The sequence below is a fragment of the Homo sapiens genome, chromosome 8 (genome assembly GCF_000001405.40).
Source record: "Homo sapiens chromosome 8, GRCh38.p14 Primary Assembly".
Lineage (NCBI taxonomy): Eukaryota > Metazoa > Chordata > Mammalia > Primates > Hominidae > Homo > Homo sapiens.
In genome coordinates this window covers 60,825,102-60,844,375 of record NC_000008.11, presented here as the reverse complement: position 1 = coordinate 60,844,375, position 19,274 = coordinate 60,825,102, and the positions used below count along the sequence as shown (strand labels likewise).

Genomic DNA, 19,274 nt, shown 5'->3' with positions numbered 1-19,274 from the left:
AAGGTTCTGGAAAGCTCTGAGGTTCCTTTTGAAACGGAGTAATAACCCCAAGCATAAGAACCATCACAGGCAAGATATTCTGCCAACCCTCAGGTCCTCATGAGAAATGAGTGGGAGAAACGACTATGGACAGAAGACAGAAGCAAACAGACAACACACCATGGGGACTGACTGCCTGTTTTGTGTTATAATCCCAGGCTAAACAGTGCTGTGCTGTCTCATCTGGGAGCTATGGAGTAAGACCACACAACAAATAGGTACGGGGGCAGGCAGCAGCAGGTGCTATGTGAGCCATGTCTTCTCCCAGGCGACAGCAGACTGAGCCACCAAGGCAGTGCTCATGGTATGAACAGCCCCTCTGCTGCAGACTGAGAGTTGTGTTTGGAGCAGAGAGCAGCGCACATCCTCCCTCAGGCCCTGCCTCTCACTTGGTCTCTTGTCACTCCCTGGTCCTCTCTGGCTCCTGTGAACTTCTTCAAGTTTCTCCAACCACAGGGCTAGCTCTCACTGCTAGGCCTTGGAACACACTGCTCTATCTGCCGGTACCTCACTTCCCTTCCCTACCCAAACCCCAGCACTCCCTCTTACCCTGGCTGATTTGTGATATCCACCAAGTCACAAGCTGTACATGCCACCTTTTGTGGAATTCCTCCTTTCATTCCTCCTAACCCCAGAAGTGGGGAGACAACACTGGAGCTGTGTCTTAACAGTGAGCTGACAGGCTCTATGCTCCACAGCAGAGTGCTTCCCTGTCACAGTATTGTCACAGTCTGCACCACTTCTACTTGCTCACCTGCCTGCCTGAGCCATGACTGTCTTGCTCAGAGCTCCACCCCTAGTGACTGAGAGGATCCTAGACAGTGCCTAGCACATAGGTGTTCAGTACATAGTGACAACTATGGGAAGAGGGAAGGGCTCGACTGAAAGACAATCTGCGCTAAGCACACTTCTTAGCTGTAGGAGTTATTTATGTGTTCCATTCCTAAAGTTACCCACAGAACTCTCAAATCTGATGATTGTGCTGAAACATGGCAGCAGGCATGGGTAGCAAAGGGCTTTTGCGGGGCAGGGCTTTTGGGACGCAGGGGGTGAGTCTCTGCCCCATGTAAGAAGAGACAAGAGAGGATGTCCAGCTTCACAGATAATGATGGACTTCTGTTGAACAAGCATTTATCAGCACTGTGTGTCTGCTCACACTGCACTACACACTGAGGGCACAATGAAGGAGCTTCCATCCTCAAGGAGCTGCAAACTGAAAGAGGGAGGCGACTCAAAAATTGTAAACAACATGATGAGTGTGATGGGAAGTGCAGGCCAGACTCAGTTGCAGAGCACAAGCTGATGCCTGCGTCGGACACCCACGGAGAGCAGAAGGGAGGTAGGTCACCTCCCAGCGGAGGTGCAAGTGGGGGGTCCTCTAGGCAGTGGGAAGAGCTTGTGCAAAGACACAGATGAGATGGAGCGTGGCGCACTGAAGGAGATGAAGCCGTCTGTCCTAACAGAAGCTTGGACTACCCATGGGAAAGAACCAACAGAAGACAAGGTCCCAGAAGAGCTCTGGATGCCATGTCAGCATATGTTTGTGTTTACTCTGAAACTAATGGTAATTCATTGGAAGAAATCATCCAAGACAGGACGTCATCAGATCTGTAGAAAGGTTACTCTAGCTGCAGTTTTTTTTTTAACAGGAGTTGCCTGTAGTCCCACAATCTGCTAGAGAACTCTTATTGACCAATTCAGATATTTACTGAGCACCCTGCCATTCAAAGTACCACTTTGGGCATCACAGTGATTCAGAGATAAATTGGACATGGATCCTCCCTTTCAGAAACTTATAGTCCAGCAGGAAAAATACAACACTTTCACAAAGTTCAAATGACCATTCATGTTTCATATGAGTTGCAAGGAAGAATTTAACAAGTGAGATTACTGCCTTTGACAATTTTTTATAAGAGAAATATTAAAAGCTTACGACAGTCATAAATTTTATGCAAAGCTTGTAAAGTGAGAAAAGATTACATAATTTTGACACTTTGTTCTTAATTATTAATAATCAACATGTAACTCTAGATCTGGCATAATTCCTTAAGGTATACACAAGCACCTTAACTTCAGGTGACCTCTGAACCAGAAGCATCTGAACAACTTAGATTATGTTAACCAAATGGCTTCAAAGCCCTGTAAAGTTACTGCAGAAGCATTCATTTGACTGTGCAAAGGGGTGTCACACAAATTCAAACACAAATATAGTTTTTCTCTACCAGTTGGGAATTCTAACTACTGTTACAATAAAATTCTATCTTACGTAGTGAGTCCTACTTACCCATAGACAAGCAGATTCTTCTCCACCCTGAAACATTCACTCCTTGCATAGCCCTGTGACTTATCCTGGGGACGCCGTGGCTTTGCACAGGGCTTTTCTTCAGAATCACTTTCCAAGTCTGAGAACTCCATCAGCTCATCTTCCTTCACTGCACTGTAGAGCCTGGTCTGCTTTCTCACTCTTGGAGTATCAATAACCAGGTTGTTCTAATAATAAAAGAGGAGATACATTTGACATTTCTCAAAGAGTGGCTCTTGGTTTAGATCAGATAGGTGTTCGAATGGGACTTCTTACTCACCCTCCCATTTAAGGCATCAATATCCAATTCAGCCTTCTTAGCCCACTTTTGCCAGAAATTTGGATCATCCAAGGAAATATCTGTCCTATTTCCAGATGCAACAAAACTGGCCTAAAGAGAAAAAAGAAACGCATTACTTTGAGAGGCCTTTCTCAGAAGCAGAATGTAAAGCAGCTTTTGTTTATGTATTTGCTCCGATATTGTGCATTCCTCCACTTATGCCAGACACTACAGTAGATGGGACTAGAATGACAGACTGGCCCTCAGGCAGCTCACTGACCAGGGCCTGAGACCAAACCAAGAATTACACTGCAGAGTGATAAATGATAGGGAGCAAGTGTATAGACCAGTGCAAGTGATATACAGAGGAGGGGCCCCTAACCTGGTTCAGGCAGGGTGTTGCTGGAAACCGAAAAGAAAAGTCTCTTCCATAAAATGATGCCTGAACCATTCTAAAACATTTATAAAACAGGAAAGCATGTGGAAATGTTCACAGCAGAGCATGTGCCAAGGCACAGAGAGTAAAGGGGATAAGGGTAGTCAGGGAAGAAGAGCCAGAGGTCGAGCTGGTGAGGGAGAGAGAAGCCAGGTCAAGCAGTGTCTGTATATGTTAACAGAGTTAACAGAGTTTGAACTCTATCCCGAAGGAACCAGGAACTATTTGAAAATAGGAATAATCTCATTATGGACACAATCATAACCAGAGTCACAAGTTGGAAAGGTCATACCAATGCTTGGAGCATGGAGGTCAGAACACAGCAGAAGAAGCCACTGTAATAATTTACAGAAGAAATAACAAAATGGAGAAAAGAAGGTGGTTTAGAAACATATTCTTTAGGCCAGGCATGGTGGCTCACACCTGTAATCCCAGCACTTTGGGAGGCCGAGGTGGGTAGATGGCTTGAGGTCAGGAGTTTGAGACCAGCCTGGCTAACATGGTGAAACCCTGTCTCTACAAAAAATGCAAAAATTAGCCAGGCATGGTGGTGCACACCTGTAATCCCAGCTACTCGGGAAGCTGAGGCAAGAGAATTGCTTGAACCCAGGAGGTGGAGGTTGCAGTGAGCCGAGATTGCGCCACTACACTCCAACCTGGGCAACAGAGCAAGACTCTGTCAAAAAAAAAAAAGAAACATATTCTTTAAAAGGTAAAATTATTGGGAAGCTGAAGGTGGAAGGTCACTTGAGCCATGTGTTCAAGTCTGGCCTGGGCAACATAGTGAGATATCATCCCAAAAATAAAATAAAACAAAAGGCAAAATCAATGGAGTCAGAATCTGGGTACAAGTGAAATATGAAAGAAGCGGAAGCCAGAAAAACCTCAGCATCCATCTCAGGCATCTGAATGATGTCAGTCAGGTGGACAAACAGAGATAGGGGCAGGAGGAGAGACAGGGGTGATAAGTTTGGCTGTGCACATATTGAATACACAGTGCCTGTGAGCTCTGAGAAAATAATCTGACACAAGGCTGAAAGATGTAAAGGAGAAGATGTGGGTCTCAAAACCCACAGGAGAAGAGCCTTTCCAGATTGGAGCGGCTAGGACAACTGGATAGCCACATGCAAAACGAACGTTGGACCCCTACCTCACACCATACACAAAACTCTATCCAAATGGGATCACAGACCAAAATGTAAGAGTTAAAAACTATAAATCTTGGAATCTAAGTTACACTAGTGAATAACATTATGCTAACTGAATGAAGCCAGACACAAAAGATCATATAACATATGATTCCATTTATATGAACTGCCCACCGTCCAGAGTAGGCAAATCTGTAGAAAACATAAATCTTTGTGAGCTTGGGTTTGACAATGCACTAAAAACACAAGCGATAAAATAAATTTGGTAAACTGGGCTTCATTAAAATTATATGCTATTAAGAAGAGAGTAGGAGAAAATATCTGCAATCATATTAATACAGAACCTTCATACAGAACATATTTTAAGTCTGAAACATTAATAAAAAGAAACTCAAAAAATGAACAAAGAACTTGAATAGAATTTTTTCCAAAGATGATCTACATCTGGCCAATAAGCACATGAAAAGATGCTCAATATCATCAGAGAAATGCAAATAAAAACCAGAGTGGGATATGACCTCACACCCATTAGGATGGCTAAAACTAAAAACTCAGATAATAAAAAGTATTGGGGAGGATATGGAGTTCCATTTCCTCCATATCCTCATCTATACTTCTTACTATCTGACTTGGAAGGAAACTAGTACAGTCACTTTACAAAACAGTCTGGCAGTTCCTCAAAGAGTCAAACATGAAGTTAACATAGGACCCAGCAATTCCACTCCTGGTATATACCCAAGAGAAATGAAAACAAGTCCATACAAAACCTTGTACACAAATATCCATAACAACATTCTTCATAATAGCCAATAGTAAAAACAACCCAGATGTCCATTATCAACAAGTAAAGGTGGTATACCCATACAATGGAATATTGTTCAGCAATAAAAAGGAGTGAACTACTGATCCATGCTACAACATGGATGAACCTCAAAAACATTATACTAAGTGAATGAAGTCAGACACAAAAGATCATACATCATATGATTCCATTTATATGAACTGTCCACTGTCCAGAGAAGGCAAATCTGTAGAAAAAGAAAGTAGATTCATGCTTTCCAGATATGGCAGACTGGTATGGATAGGAATGGGGAATGATTGCTAATGAGCATGAGGACCTTTCTGGGGTATATGGAAATGTTACAAACTTAGATTGTGGCAATATTTGCTCAAGTCTGTAATATGGTAAAGGCATTGAATTGTACACGAAAGACAGGTTAATTGTATGGTCAGTTAATTACATTTCAATAAAGTCATTAAAAATAAAAGTACAGAGTGGGCCTCACTGAGATGGCTAGAACAAAATGCAGGTGAAACCTCAGAAGGGGCTCTCAGGTGGAACCATCTGGTGTACTCAGTGGTGACCCTGGCCAGAGCAGCTCTGATAGAGAGGCAGGGAACAGGTGCAAGCTGGAAGCTGAAAAAGCTGAAAAATAAGTAGAAAGGGAGACAGTAGAGGCTGCAGTAGATTACGTTTGTGTGGATTTTAGCTCTGAAGAGTTTATGTATGGAGATTTAGCTAAAGAAGAAAATAGAGAAGAGGTGTTTTTAAAGGAGTGACTTGATCATTCTTATAGGCTGTTTCAAAAACCAGGATCTGGGGAGAGAAGGAAGATGCCAACGGAGCAGGATCTCAGAAGTGGAGACAATAGAGTCAAGAACACAAGTGAGCGATTAGCCTCAGGAGCTGGGAAGCAGATACAAGGATGACAAGGTGAGGGCAAATACCAGTGGCAGGTACACAGAAGATAAACCAAAGCATAAAGAAAGCTTCATGTGCCAGGGGTTCCACAGGGAGTTAATGATTAATTTGATTAATTCCCAATGCATCTTGTAAGCACTTTTACAAGGTACTTTTCACATGAACTCTGTCATGCTTCTATGGAAAACCTGGCCTCTTTAGATCGATTCACACCTTAGCAAATGTGGAACCTTTCCCTTCTGACTCAATGGTAATGGTGTGGGTTCGACGTAGGAGGATCTGATCAATATCTTCTTCACAGAATTTAGACCCTTCATCCTCCTCATCCATGAGTGCACCATAGGCCCCTTTTCGTAGAAGATCCTCTATTTCTTTCTTGGAAAGCTGTTGTACCTGTTTTAGAGAAATATTTAAAATACTCAAAATAATTTAAAATTAAGAGGTTTGCAGACTAAACAAATGCTGCATTTTTCTCAAAGAGAGTAAACCTAAATTATAACAAAGGAAAGTGTTACAAAATACACTTAAAATATTGAGGTCGAAAAATAATCAAAGGCTGAGTAATTTCTTACTATTAGTTAAATAAAGGAAAGTGCCAGAATAAATAAATGGTTTGGGCAAGGGTGGTTTTACCCCATTGGTAGCATTTTCTCTTCCACTCATAGACTGTAGCACAGCTTTATCCAGGCCCAGTTTCAAACTAGCCTTGTCGAACATTTCCCTTTCATAGGAATTTCTTGTAATCAGCCTGTAGATTTTCACAGATTTGCTCTGTCCTATTCTATGACATCTAGCCTGAGCCTGGAAGAAAAATGAAATTAATAGTTACTGCAATGAACCTAATGTTTCTGTCTCCCCACCAAATTCATATGCTGAAACCCTCATTCCAATGTGATGGTATTTGGAGGTGGCGCCTTAGGGAAGTAATTAGGTCATGAAGGTGGAGTCCTCACGAACAGGATTACTGCTCATATAAAGAGGCGAGAGAGCTGGCTCTCTTTAAGCTGGGTGAGGACACAGCAAGATGATAACTGTCCATAAACCAGGAAGAGGGCCCTCACCAAGAACCTGACTCTGCTGGCACTCTGATTTTGGACTTCCAACCTCCAGAACTGTGAGAAATAAATGTCTGTTGTTTAAGCCACCCAATTTATGGTATTTTGTTAAGGAGACCTGAGCTAAGACGGCTACCAAAGAATGACAAGACTCATCTGCCAGTTCTAAGACCCTATCTATGTGCCAATAAATAGAGGTGCAGTTTAGAAGAAGGTTAAAACTAAAAAATTTCTTCTCACATTATTAATCAACAGATTACTAGTTGGTTATTTGCTCTGAATCATAGGACACAGCCTGAGTGACGACGCAACATTAATTTATGGGTCTGACTGGTACTCTCTGTCATAGTAAGCAGAATGACTTCCTTTTTAAAGGCATCAGGACTTTCTTGTGCATTTACCTGGAGGTCATTTTGGGGATTCCAGTCTGAATCAAAGATGATGCAGGTATCAGCAGCAGTGAGGTTAATGCCTAAACCTCCTGCCCTTGTACACAGGAGGAAAACAAACCTATCAGAATCAGGTTTGGAGAATCTGTCGATAGCTGCCTGGCGGAGGTTGCCTCTTACTCGGCCGTCGATCCTTTCATATGGGTACCTAGAAAACATCAGTGTGAACAAGGAGGCCTGACGCATAGCGACAACATACTTGCTCCTTTTTTTAATTTTTAATTATTACAATATGGAATATATATTAAAAAGACTAATATGACTTAACAGAACTAATCTCAGAGCAAATAGGGTTTATTGGCGTTTTTTATATAATTGATTGAATGACCAAAGATTAAATTTTATTTTACTTCCTCTCCAGGGAAATAGTTAAATTCTAAAAACAGCTGACACCTATAACAGTAAGATAACAAATAATTTCAATTTTAAGTAAGAACTATTCTCCCCTACTCAAATAAAGGCAATGGGGAAATAAAATTGCCTAAAAAAGTATGCAGTGTCCTCCTGTAGTCATCATATAAAATAATCATCATGTACATCTATAGTTTTAAAAATGACATGTGATGCACTTCCCCCATTCTAGCCCCTTTATCATAGATTCCACTTTTAGGTGGACTGCTTGGACCCCTGGGAAGGTAATTTTAGATTTCCTTTTTATTATTCTGATATGGTGGTCCTCACCGTCTTTGAATGAGGTAGTCTTCCAGTATGTCCAAGCAGCGCACCATCTGGGAAAAGATAAGCACCCTGTGGCCACCAGCCTTCAGTTTTGGCAGCAGCTTGTCAATCAGCACTAGCTTGCCAGCAGCCTGGATCATTGCCTGGAGCTGAAAATCTGGAGACTCTGCATTGTGTGTTTCTTTAAACTCTTCCAAAATTTTCTCTTCAGCACCTGCAGAGATTGGACAGCATAACGTGAATACTGTAAAAGGTTTTTATTACTAAAAACAATGCACTTGCTTTCAAAACCCATTGCAAACTGTAGGAACCAGAACACCAAACTCCTGCTTATGAACAAGAATCCATCCACTTACTCATAGTTGGGTCTATACAAAACTGTGGATGTACAAAAGGGGTAAAAGTTTTAAGCACAACACATTGAGGCATTCAGGGGGAAAACCACATTTTTCAACAAACAAATGTTTGCTGTCTGTAAAAACGGAATTTCAACAACAGACTGTCAAGCCAGAAGTGGCAGAAACAAGCCAAGGGCCAGATACCTACAGAAAATTTGGAACCTAAATTGCTAAAGAAATGAAGAAATGTTTACTAGCTGAACATAAACACAAACAACAAAATCTGTTCCGAAATGAAAAAACAAAGGAATAGAGTCCTAACAATTACAGCGTAAGAGCAATAGTAGTTTGGGTCTATAATTGCATATTAATATAGGCAAAGGAACTACAAAAAGAGGAATTTATTTCCAGGACAATTTCCTGGAATATTTGTGGGGGACCTAAGCATACAACTATTGTAATCTCTAAATCTCCCTCCACATTCATTCCCATCTGGTAATTTTTCCTAAGATACAAAAATTCTATCTTGAACTATCCAAATCTTTTAAAATTAAAAACAAACAAACCTTTAAGTGTTTGACATAAGACTTCTATGCTTAAACCCTTCTTTTCCCCCACATGGATTTTTGCTGGTCCAAAGACTTGGGTACATTGGAAAGAGGCCTCAAGAAGATGACATCTTCCTAAGGAAAGATGGCCCATGACATCCCTGCCTGACACACGCTTATTTAGGAAGCAGCAGGCTAAGCTTCCTTCAACTGCTTAGGTGGCTTAACTAGAATTACGCAGCATTGGTCTGACCTCCTCCTGCCTCTGGGGTTAATCAGGACATAGCTGTTGTGTTTAGCTCTTTTCCCTGAAGGTGGAGGATGTGCTCAACTATTCTTCAGAAAATACAAACACACACATTCATCTTAATGGGATTGTTTCCTAGACTTTAACTGTGCCAGAAACTTAAAACTACCTTCCTACCACTGGTTTTTAACATGTGAACTAACTATACACAAGATGGGGATACATAAACCTCAAAGAGGCTTTAAAGGTTGGGTCAGTGGGACAGACAACCACAGCCTCTCACATGGTACTGCTGCAACAAGCACAGATGTAACAAAAGTGCAATCCTATCTGTACTTTAAGGCTGCATGTAGAAATTACCTTATGACATGGTCAAATGCAGAAATACAGCCTATTAATTATTAATCAACAAATAATTTACTGAGAACAGATTAAAGTCAGTTAATGTCTTCCCAAGCACTAAGGCCTTCCACAAAATACACTGACTTCTTATGAAGGCAGACTGGCCCTCACTCCTTTTTCCAAGTGAATGAAAAGCTAATATTCAGAATGTTTCTTTAAGTATGGAAAATAAATGCAAGAGTAAAGAGCAAAATGCTGTTTAAGGGCACTAGCAAGAATGTTCTTGAATAAAGTTAAATATTTTTTAAAACATGAAATTTAGAAACCCAGCTTCTAGATTCAGGACAAGCCCCTCAAGAGACAGGGGAAACAGATTTAAGTGCACGTTACATTAGGTATCTTTCAAGTGTATTCTTGTTGTACAATACATCATAAGCTCTGAAATTCAGAATAAGTTTTACTCTTATGACATTTGGTTAATTATTTTTTGTCCATACTAAGTTAAAATCCACAATATAAAATATAGTATTTTAGCCATTTAAAACAAATTAATGGCCAACGAATATTTTTCAAAAAGCAAATAATCATTTCGACAAAATAAACATCAGATATTTGGGTTTCAGTTAAATTTTTTTAACAAATAATTCAGTCAAATTTGCAGAGAATTTTAATTTTAAATTTATTCAGAGATTAAAAAAATAATTTTTGCCTTTTTTATACTATCAAAAAGAATAGTCAGAAAAAAAATGCATTCTTTCTTACCTGACAAAAGCTACTTCTGAATTAATTAATTCAGCTCTCTGTTATGAATTCAGGTTCTTACAACTGGCAGCCAGTTTGTACTAATAATATTTCATTTAAAAACAGTATCAGCAAACACCTTTCCTATATGATTGTCTTGACATTTTATTGTGGCAACATTGAAGGAAAGAGGGTGGGAAGAGTGTTGGGGAGGAAAGCAACTGCTCCCTTGTGATATCACAGCTAAATTTTCAAGATTACAAATTAATGTTTGATACCCAATTTGTAAACATCAATCCAAAAATTAACTGGAAATAGGTCATGCCAACCCAAAACACTTTGTTGGTTCCGTCCTAAATTAATGTATGGCTGGCACTACACTGGAAAGTGTGTATATCAAAGACAACTTGAAACAAGTGTGCATTCACTTACAGCTTGAAGTCTTTTCACTTCAACAGATGGTCACTGTCGGGACAGTAACTGCAATGTCCTCTAGCTATATAAAAGCCACGAACAAACAAGAAAATATTTTGTTCTTGACGATTACCAGAAAAAAAAAGTTACTATTTTCTCTCTGAAATTCACTCCATCACGTAAGCCTCATTCGTGTTTTCTTTTTGCCCACTCTTCCTCTACACGCCTCCTGCCTCAAACAATAACCAGCAACAACTCTTAAGTCAGCTCTAACCAGCAGGGTACCTTGGACATGTTTTCAACATTATTCTTAACTTCACATTGCAAAACCTAAAAATTGGAAATTCCATTGAAATAAAGCTTGAGCTAATAACTCATACATAAGCTTTCAACTCATACATATAAAATTGCTTCTATTTTTCATAATCCTGGAAATGTGTTTTGTTGAATGTTGATTGAGGCTTCTTTACTCTGCCACAACCAATTCAAATTTCAATGTAATCTCCCAAATTAAAGAATTTCCTTTTAAATGCTGGATATATGTTTTTACTCCAGACTGTGGATGAGAATGAACAGTACGGGCCCTGGAGCAACCTCTACACAATACAATGTCTGCGTAAGTTATCTGGGCAGCTGCGTGCGCTTAGTTTGTATGTTATCTACACTTTTTCACTATAACTTCCCCAAATTTAGGGACAAAGACACCTGCTTAACAGACACTTCTTGTCAGGACAGAAAAGCTGACCTCAAGGTGTGACCAATTAGGACAACTGCCACATCTGCCAAGCCTTAGGGAGTCCTAAGAGGCTCCTCGCGAACAAATATGCTATACAGGATGACCCTGGAAAGCAATCATCAAAGGAAGAGACACACCAGCTGTGTTTTGGGGGAAAACAACCCACAATGTTCAATGCATATAATTAACATATGACCAAACAGGGTAAACTTGATGGAACTGGGGGTGTCAATCTAACTACCATTGCTGAGATCTCCCCTTTCACACACATCCTGCTGGTAGCATTCAAACCCTTTTGTATCTCCTTTTCTTTTCTTTCCCCTTGGAGGCTATTATTTATTTTCTTTTGTACCAGCTATTAAATGCAAACACATGTATGTGCACAGTGCATGCACACACGTGTCCTCATCTCGCTCCATCAGTTGCCCTAAGCTCTGTCTCGCCAACTCAAGACCTGGCTAGTTAACACTCACCGTAACGGCTGCACAAGCTTCTAAACATACTGTGATTAGCAGATTGGCAGTATCAGATACATAATCATCACACATGATACTCTCTTTAGAAGACAAAACTAAAAGCACAAAAAGAAATTCACTGGCCAGGTGCAGTGGCTCACACCTGTAATCCCAGCACTTTGGGAGGCTGAGGTAGGCAGATCACTTGAGCTCAGGAGTTCGATACCAGCCTGGGCAACATGGAGAAACCCCGTCTCTACAAAAAATACAAAAAAAATTAGCTGGGCGTTGTGGCGCATGCCTGTAGTCCCAGCTACTCAGGAGGCTGAGGTGGGAGGGATGCTTGAGCCTGGGAGGTCGAGGCTGCAGTGAGCCGAGATCGTGCCACCGCACTACAGCCTGGGCGCCAGAGTGAGAACCTATCTCAAGAAAAAAAAACTGTGTATATATATATAAAAAAGAAATTCACTGATTCGTCGCATCACACCAATGATCCCAGGTGCAACACTCTAAGACTATCTTCCAGGAGTGGACTACTCTGTCCATTAGTAACGGAGACTTCTGAATCTAGGGTGGCCGATGAGTTACACGTTATTAAAAGGGGAAAGATTAGAAATTCTTTAAATTAGCTGTCCTTGAACATAAACTGTGATAAAGACAGACCAGGTTGTGCTCCCTTTTCCTTGGAAAGGAATCTAATTGCACTGCTGGCCAACTATCATCGTGTACAAGTCTCCCAAATTAGCCTGCCACCACCTTTCTTTAACCCACATTAACTTCTACCCAGAATACAATAGCCTCTGAGCTGGTTCTTCTGCTTGTCTGTCTTTCCTCCTCCCATCCTTTTTATGCAGTGTTGCCTGACGCATCACCCTGAATCATATTTCTAATCAATGCTCAGCTCAAACACTAGTCATGGTTCTTCACTGCCTGCAGAGTAGAGTGGAGGTTCCATGCACTAGCCTTTAAGGAATTCTGCAGCAGGATCCAAGCATGTCTAAGGTGCATTTCTTATGTGTGCCTTTTACTTTGGGAAAGTTCCTCATTGTTTTCCTGACCCCCTCTCTTTGCTTGTATCGTTACTTCAGCCTAAACATCTTTTCTTTTTCTAACTCTGCCTCGCAAAATCCTTTCTACCCCTGCAGACTTGCCTAAAAAGACCATCTCCTTCTAAAGACTCCCCCAATCTCAATCCCTCAGCTAACTGAAGACTGCTTGTGGCGAATGCTCCCTTCTTATTTACCTTTGCATTCTCCAGAGTATCTTATACAACATAAGCATGAAATATTTACTACCTTAATGATTTCCAAAAATACATAATAAAGGTTTTAAGCCATGAGTTACATAACACTATGAATTTAGTTAAGAAAAGAGGAGGGCCATAAATTATCAAAGCTTTAAGTTAATTTTTTTGTTCTCAGAGGATAGAGGTGCTAGATGACTCTGGACTGAGAGGAAGATGAGGACATTTGCTATCAAAGGCTTGAGACAGCTGATAGCTGTCTGCTCACACCTAAGTTCCTCTTTAACATCTCTGATTTAAATACACACACCCCAAGAAAACCTCCATTAGGGGCTCATTTCTCTTTGGCTGTTAGCACTTCAGATGACTTCTAGCCCTGGAACACTAACGCCTCTTTTCAAGCACAGGGAGGTCAGGAGAAAGGCAAGGTGAGATTCCACTTCAGGGATTGCTGGGGCAATGGTCACTCACCTTCAGCAACCACAGAAGGAGGCATCACAGAAAGTGGGAAGCTGGTGAAACCCATGCTGAGTGGACAGGAGACAGGAATGACTATACACCATGAAATCCCCAGTCTGGGGGCAGAAAGGGATTTCTGGTGCTTCAATCGTCACTTAAGCAAGTTCGCGAGCAGGGCAGCCTTACCATTGATAAGGTACGGATGATTGCAGCACTTCCGCAATTCCATCATAGTGTTTAATAGGTTAGGTACGTTAGCTTGACCACCGCCTTTGGAAAGAAATGTGAAATTCTTCTCAAGGATGGCTCGGTAATATTTCTTCTGAATGTTTGTTAGCTCAACTTCAATAATAGTTTCTTCTTTGGGGGCCAAGTTCTTTTCTACATCCTCTTTGAGACGTCTCAACATCATTGGCTTTAGAATAGCTTGAAGTTTTTGCACCTAAAAAAGGACCTTAAGTAAATACTAGTGTCATGATTTGCTTGCAAGTTAAAACATATTTTAACATGAAACATCAGGATTATCTCATTCATTAAACATCCATTTTCATTTTTCAAAGCCCAGTGAGAGTATGAAGGAGCTCATCTCTCAGCTTTCATAAGAGCAGTGCATGAAGGTTGCATAATTTTATGTCAAATGAACTATTTCACCCATCCAGGAGCCCTGAACAGCCAGAAGGCTTGAAAAGTACCCAGCAGGAGAAATCCAACTGATTCATGTAGCTTTCCCTTCTGTTTGTCCTAAGCCATAGGGAAGATAGAGAAGAGGGACAAGACAATGTCATGGCAATGCTCTGTTTCTATTCTCTTCCTTTCTAGGGAGAGCTAAAGAATGAGAGGAAGTGAGCCAGGAGCAATCTAGTCCCTGCACTAAGGAGCCAGCAGAGACGTCTCTCCCTGGTTCTCTTTTCTATTGATTGGCAATAGAACTGAGTAATCCATACAGTTTTTATTTTAGAAAAGAAAAACAAAACAGACCTTACTCTGAACTGAGCTAACAGGTTTTAGACAGTAAGTCAGTGGAGGGGGCACGTAAAAACCAAGATTTCAAGTCTATCTCCGTTATTTATTTCAAATACAGCACACAAATTATAACTAATGCCCACATAACTCTTACAGCATATAAAATAGCCAAGCACTTTTCTTTTCTTTTCCTTTTTTTTGAGATGAAGTCTCACTGTGTCACCCAGGCTGGAGTGCAGTGGTGCAATCTTGGCTCACTGCAACCTCTGCCTCCCGGGTTCAAGTGATTCTCCTGCCTCAGCGTCCAGAGTAGCTGGGGCTACAGGCGTGTTCCACCACGCCCGGCTAATTTTTGTATTTTTTTTAGTAGAGATGGGTTTTCACCATATTGGCCAGGCTGGTCTCAAACTCCTGACCTCGTGATCCGCCTGCCTCAGCCTCTCAAAGTGCTGGGATTACAGGCGTAAGCCACCGCGCCTGGCCCAAGCACTTTTTATACACAATGCTTCATTTACTTCTCACAGAAATACTGTGCAGTGGTTATGCCCTAAGTTTCTAAAGTGAAAATACGTAGGCTTGAAGAAGTAAGCGGTGTGGCTGAGTACAGATGCTTCACAAAGAACAGAGACTCAAAACTGCAGCAGGCAAACAGGCCTACCAACGTCAGTGGCGTCTGACATCATCCCCAAAATTACACATACCTAGCAAAACTACCAACCTGCACAGCACAGCTATCTCTGAAAATTACATCAACAGGTATGTAACCTCTCTATAAATCTCAACAGCCCTTCACAAGAGCAAAAAGACAAACAAATAAAGAAGAAAACCTTTATGATGATGACCTGGAAAGTCCAAGGAAAGGGTATCTAAGGTTCTGTGTACTAGGTGGGAAAAACTGTAATATAATCACACTTTAAAATAACTTAATACTTTGCCATTTCATGGGCTAATCTTCAATTTTATAACTGAAATACAAAGTGGAGCTGATAAATACCTGCTCTTCTGTTTTTAGATCACCAAATTCTTGCATAAATGTGGTTTCTGAAGGGAAGCGACTTGGTTCCAAGAAATGAAGCAAGCTGAAGAGTTCTTCCACAGTGTTCTGGAGTGGGGTTCCCGTCAGCAGCACTTTGTGTTCCTGAGGTAACACAAGGAAAGCCACTAACCAAATTGTAACAAAAACACTTTCTTAAAACCAGAGCCTCTCACTAGACACCCATTGTTCTACTCCTACTCATCTACCCTATGCAAAGTATAGGAATCAGGCATGAAAACAGAGGTATTAGAACACGATTTCTGTGTCAGGTAGACAGATCCATGGACAGTCCTCTCCAGAACTCTACAGGGTCCTTAAATGTGTCTTGCCATTTTGTTTCTTCCTGGGGTTATAGGTCAGTATTTTAGTATCACGGCTTTTTAAGTCCCCCAAGTCTCAATGCTTTTATCCCCACCAGTTAAGTTTTTTTCCTAGAATCCCTAGACGCAGATGAAACATGCATGCTTCTTTCTGCTCTCTACATCAACAGTGCTCTCATCTCTCCATCTGCTTCCTGCATGACTCACTTCATAGAGACAAAAGAAGTTCTACATGCAACAGCATATGAAAAACTATTTTGTTCTGCAAAAATTTCCAACTAGCAAAGAGGTCAGCTTGGTTGTAAATACCACAATCACTTTTTTTTAATCAGATGCTATTTATAAATTTGTCTCTTTGAACCAAGTTAGGTATTTCTTTAATTAATTCTTCCTGTTTACGAACTCTTTCCCCAGCTTTCCTCATGCAGTTATACCCTGTCTTCCTATTTTCATATATGCAATACAGAAGAGCTGTTTTACAATGGCCAGTCTTAACAATAGTGAGATATTAATCTTAAGAACCCTATTATTTTCTACTTTGGCCATTTGGTACACAGCACAGCTAACAAAACTATTTCAGAAAGTAATTATACATCCCAGTAGTTGAGAAAGCAATATTCTGACTTAATTTGGAATCTGACAAGTCTCGGTTGCCAAGCAGAGTATACGCTCAGTAAATACTAGATGAATGAGGTAAGAACATGCTAATTTTCTTAATATCTACCATGTCATATCTGTTAATGAAGCTCTTTGAAAGTAGGTGAAGGAGTTCAATATGCTTGTATTCCTCCTTCTCTTCCCTTTGAATAAAGTCTCTGAGGAAGTTTCATGGACGACCATCATCTTCAGACTCAGTAAATTCATAAACAGTAAGGATCAATCAATCAATTTTTTTCTAAAGTATCACCACACTTGTGGATAGCCTGGGCCACAATCGCTGACATACCCAAGTCCTGGATTACTGTATGCAAGAACTTTTTTTTTTAAGTCCCATCACATATTCAGGAAAGAGTTACTGCAGTAGTTGAGCTGTATTGATATCGTGTCTCCCAGTTTTTTCATATCCTTTATTACGACATTAAATTAAATCTTGACTGCTTAACCAAATATTTTAAAAGTTAAAGCCTTTTTAACTTATTAATTTCAAAATAAACTTATTCGAAAAAAGGAAAGAACTCCTTTCTTTTTTTTTTTTTATTATACTTTAAGTTTTAGGGTACATGTGTACATTGTGCAGGTTAGTTACATATGTATACATGTGCCATGCTGGTGCGCTGCACCCACTAACTCGTCATCTAGCATTAGGAACTCCTTTCTTATGCAGCTTCCCTTCAATTAGTTACACCAAATGATTATACACAAAATCCTTTCATACAGTTACCTACAAATAGTGGAATAAAACTAGGTATCAATTTGAAAGTGGGTAACAATTAAAAAATACACGATTACTATGCACAGTCTCACAAAACATCAGGTAAGAAACTCAGGCGATGGAGCTTATCACCTCCACCTATGCTAGCAGATGTGCTTTTGCCTTGACAACGTTACCATTCTTTTTAGCTCTGATGAAGTGATGTCCATTTAATTTCATTTTAAGCAGACTCTTTTGTGTTAGGTTTCCTGACAATGAAAGAGATACTAGAATCAATGAAGAACTACCATGATCTCCACAGCATCCCCTCCTCGTGGATGGGGGACAACGAGATGGTTGCTTTCCCAGAGCTCCTGTGGAGGACTGTGAAGATGGTGACTGCCCCTCAATGTATCATCTTCACAAACATTTCCTTGGTGTCTGCAGAGCTGAAGACACTCATTGGTCGTCCTTTCTGGGAATGCACTTGGAGATAATCCCCATCAAGCGCATTTTCATCGCAACTGAGTCTAGTGCAGGTAACAGCAGTTCCCTATGGCCTGTGCCGTAGTTGGATATAGTTACTAACCACTATTTTGACTGTGACTTATTCTAGGAAAGAATAAAAAGTAGAAAGTGGCTAAGTTCTCAAGATGCTTATTTTAAGTAAGGATTTAAAGACCAGACAACGAGCTGTTCAGAATTGGACAAACATAATTATATTCTGAACAATAATGTGTTCCATCTTGAAAACATTTCTTCTCAAATAAAAATTCTTCATCATTAGAAAAATAAATATTTTGTTCATGTGCTAATCAGAGCTTCCCAGTTGGTGAGTCAAGGATGAGTACAGGTTATAAGTCCTTGGGGAAGGTCAGGACACCCAGGACTGGTGGTGTCCCGTGGCAGTGGGCAGCCTTCTCTTTTTACCTGAGTGTGGCATTCAACTACTATCATTTTCTATACGTGCCATTATGTGAAAAAGCTTAAGAACACTGCAATATGTAATAGGAAAATTATTTGGATAACAGATTCTAATCCATTTATCAAATGTTAGTATAAATAATAGAAAACTCTTTGAAATAGCCCAAAGATTGTGGGGGGCTGGGGGAGGGATAGCATTAGGAGAAATACCTAATGTAAATGATAAGTTGATGGGTGCAGCAAACCAACATGGCACATGTATACCTATGTAACAAACCTGCACATTCTGCATATGTACCCTAGAACTTAAATTAAAAAAAAAAATAGCCCAATGACAATCAGATTGTTTGATCTTGATGGAGTTAAATTAATGTGTACTCACCAATGAAATAATGTTTTACAGTAAGAATTTACTATCTGGGAACACATGAACTAATAATAGAACACAACTCAGATAAGTTCAGTCAGATGACTGTTTAAGCCTTCAGGAAATGGTGACATAACTGTCTCTTAGTAGAAAACTATGAAGGTGGATCCCTACTGAGAATATATATTTAGGTTATATCACAAGCATTAGTGTTTACCTGCAAATACAAGTTTACTTCATTTTAATGCTTAAGTATCACCTGGAGTGAACAAATACAAACACAGAGTTTCTCTTTTCCATATGCTTACCAAGGTCCCTGAGACTATTCACTGTTTCTAAGCGCTCTCACTTGTTTTGTGTATTGGCCACCAAATAATAGTCAACTGCTTTGAGACAGATCTTAGGATCGCTTTAATAATAATTCATTAGGAAGAAAAATGGGAAATCCCACCCTAAATAGGATAATTCAGTCAGACTTTTTCCTTTAAGCAAAACTAGATTTTGTTTGTTTTAAACTAAAAGCATAGCTGGCAATTCTAATCTCTTTAAGAATAAAATAAGCTGCTCTTTCAGAGAATCAGCTGCAACAAAAAGCTTTTAGGTGTTTTTTGGTAATACCAGTCTTCAGCTAAAAACATATGGCCATGAATATACAGAACACTCCTTCTCATCTCAAACTCTCAGTTAACAAAAGATCAAAT

General features: G+C 40.2%; 1 protein-coding gene across 11 annotated transcripts in view; it reads right to left on the bottom strand.

Moving 5' to 3' along the window:
* CHD7 (chromodomain helicase DNA binding protein 7) overlaps nt 1-19,274 on the bottom strand; it is a 189,289-nt gene that overhangs the window by 23,653 nt on the left and 146,362 nt on the right. For 10 of the 11 annotated variants that reach the window (XM_011517553.3, XM_047421945.1, XM_011517555.3 and 7 more), the window contains exons 14-21: nt 15,570-15,713; nt 13,799-14,054; nt 8,093-8,303; nt 7,364-7,559; nt 6,541-6,708; nt 6,121-6,300; nt 2,622-2,732; nt 2,324-2,529 (exon numbers count right to left, since the gene is read on the bottom strand). The exons of the other annotated variant lie outside the window; for it this stretch is intronic. In XM_011517553.3, the coding sequence (XP_011515855.1) occupies nt 2,324-2,529; nt 2,622-2,732; nt 6,121-6,300; nt 6,541-6,708; nt 7,364-7,559; nt 8,093-8,303; nt 13,799-14,054; nt 15,570-15,713 (1,472 nt within the window). The remainder of the gene's footprint in view (nt 1-2,323; nt 2,530-2,621; nt 2,733-6,120; nt 6,301-6,540; nt 6,709-7,363; nt 7,560-8,092; nt 8,304-13,798; nt 14,055-15,569; nt 15,714-19,274) is intronic. 11 annotated transcript variants of the gene reach the window in all.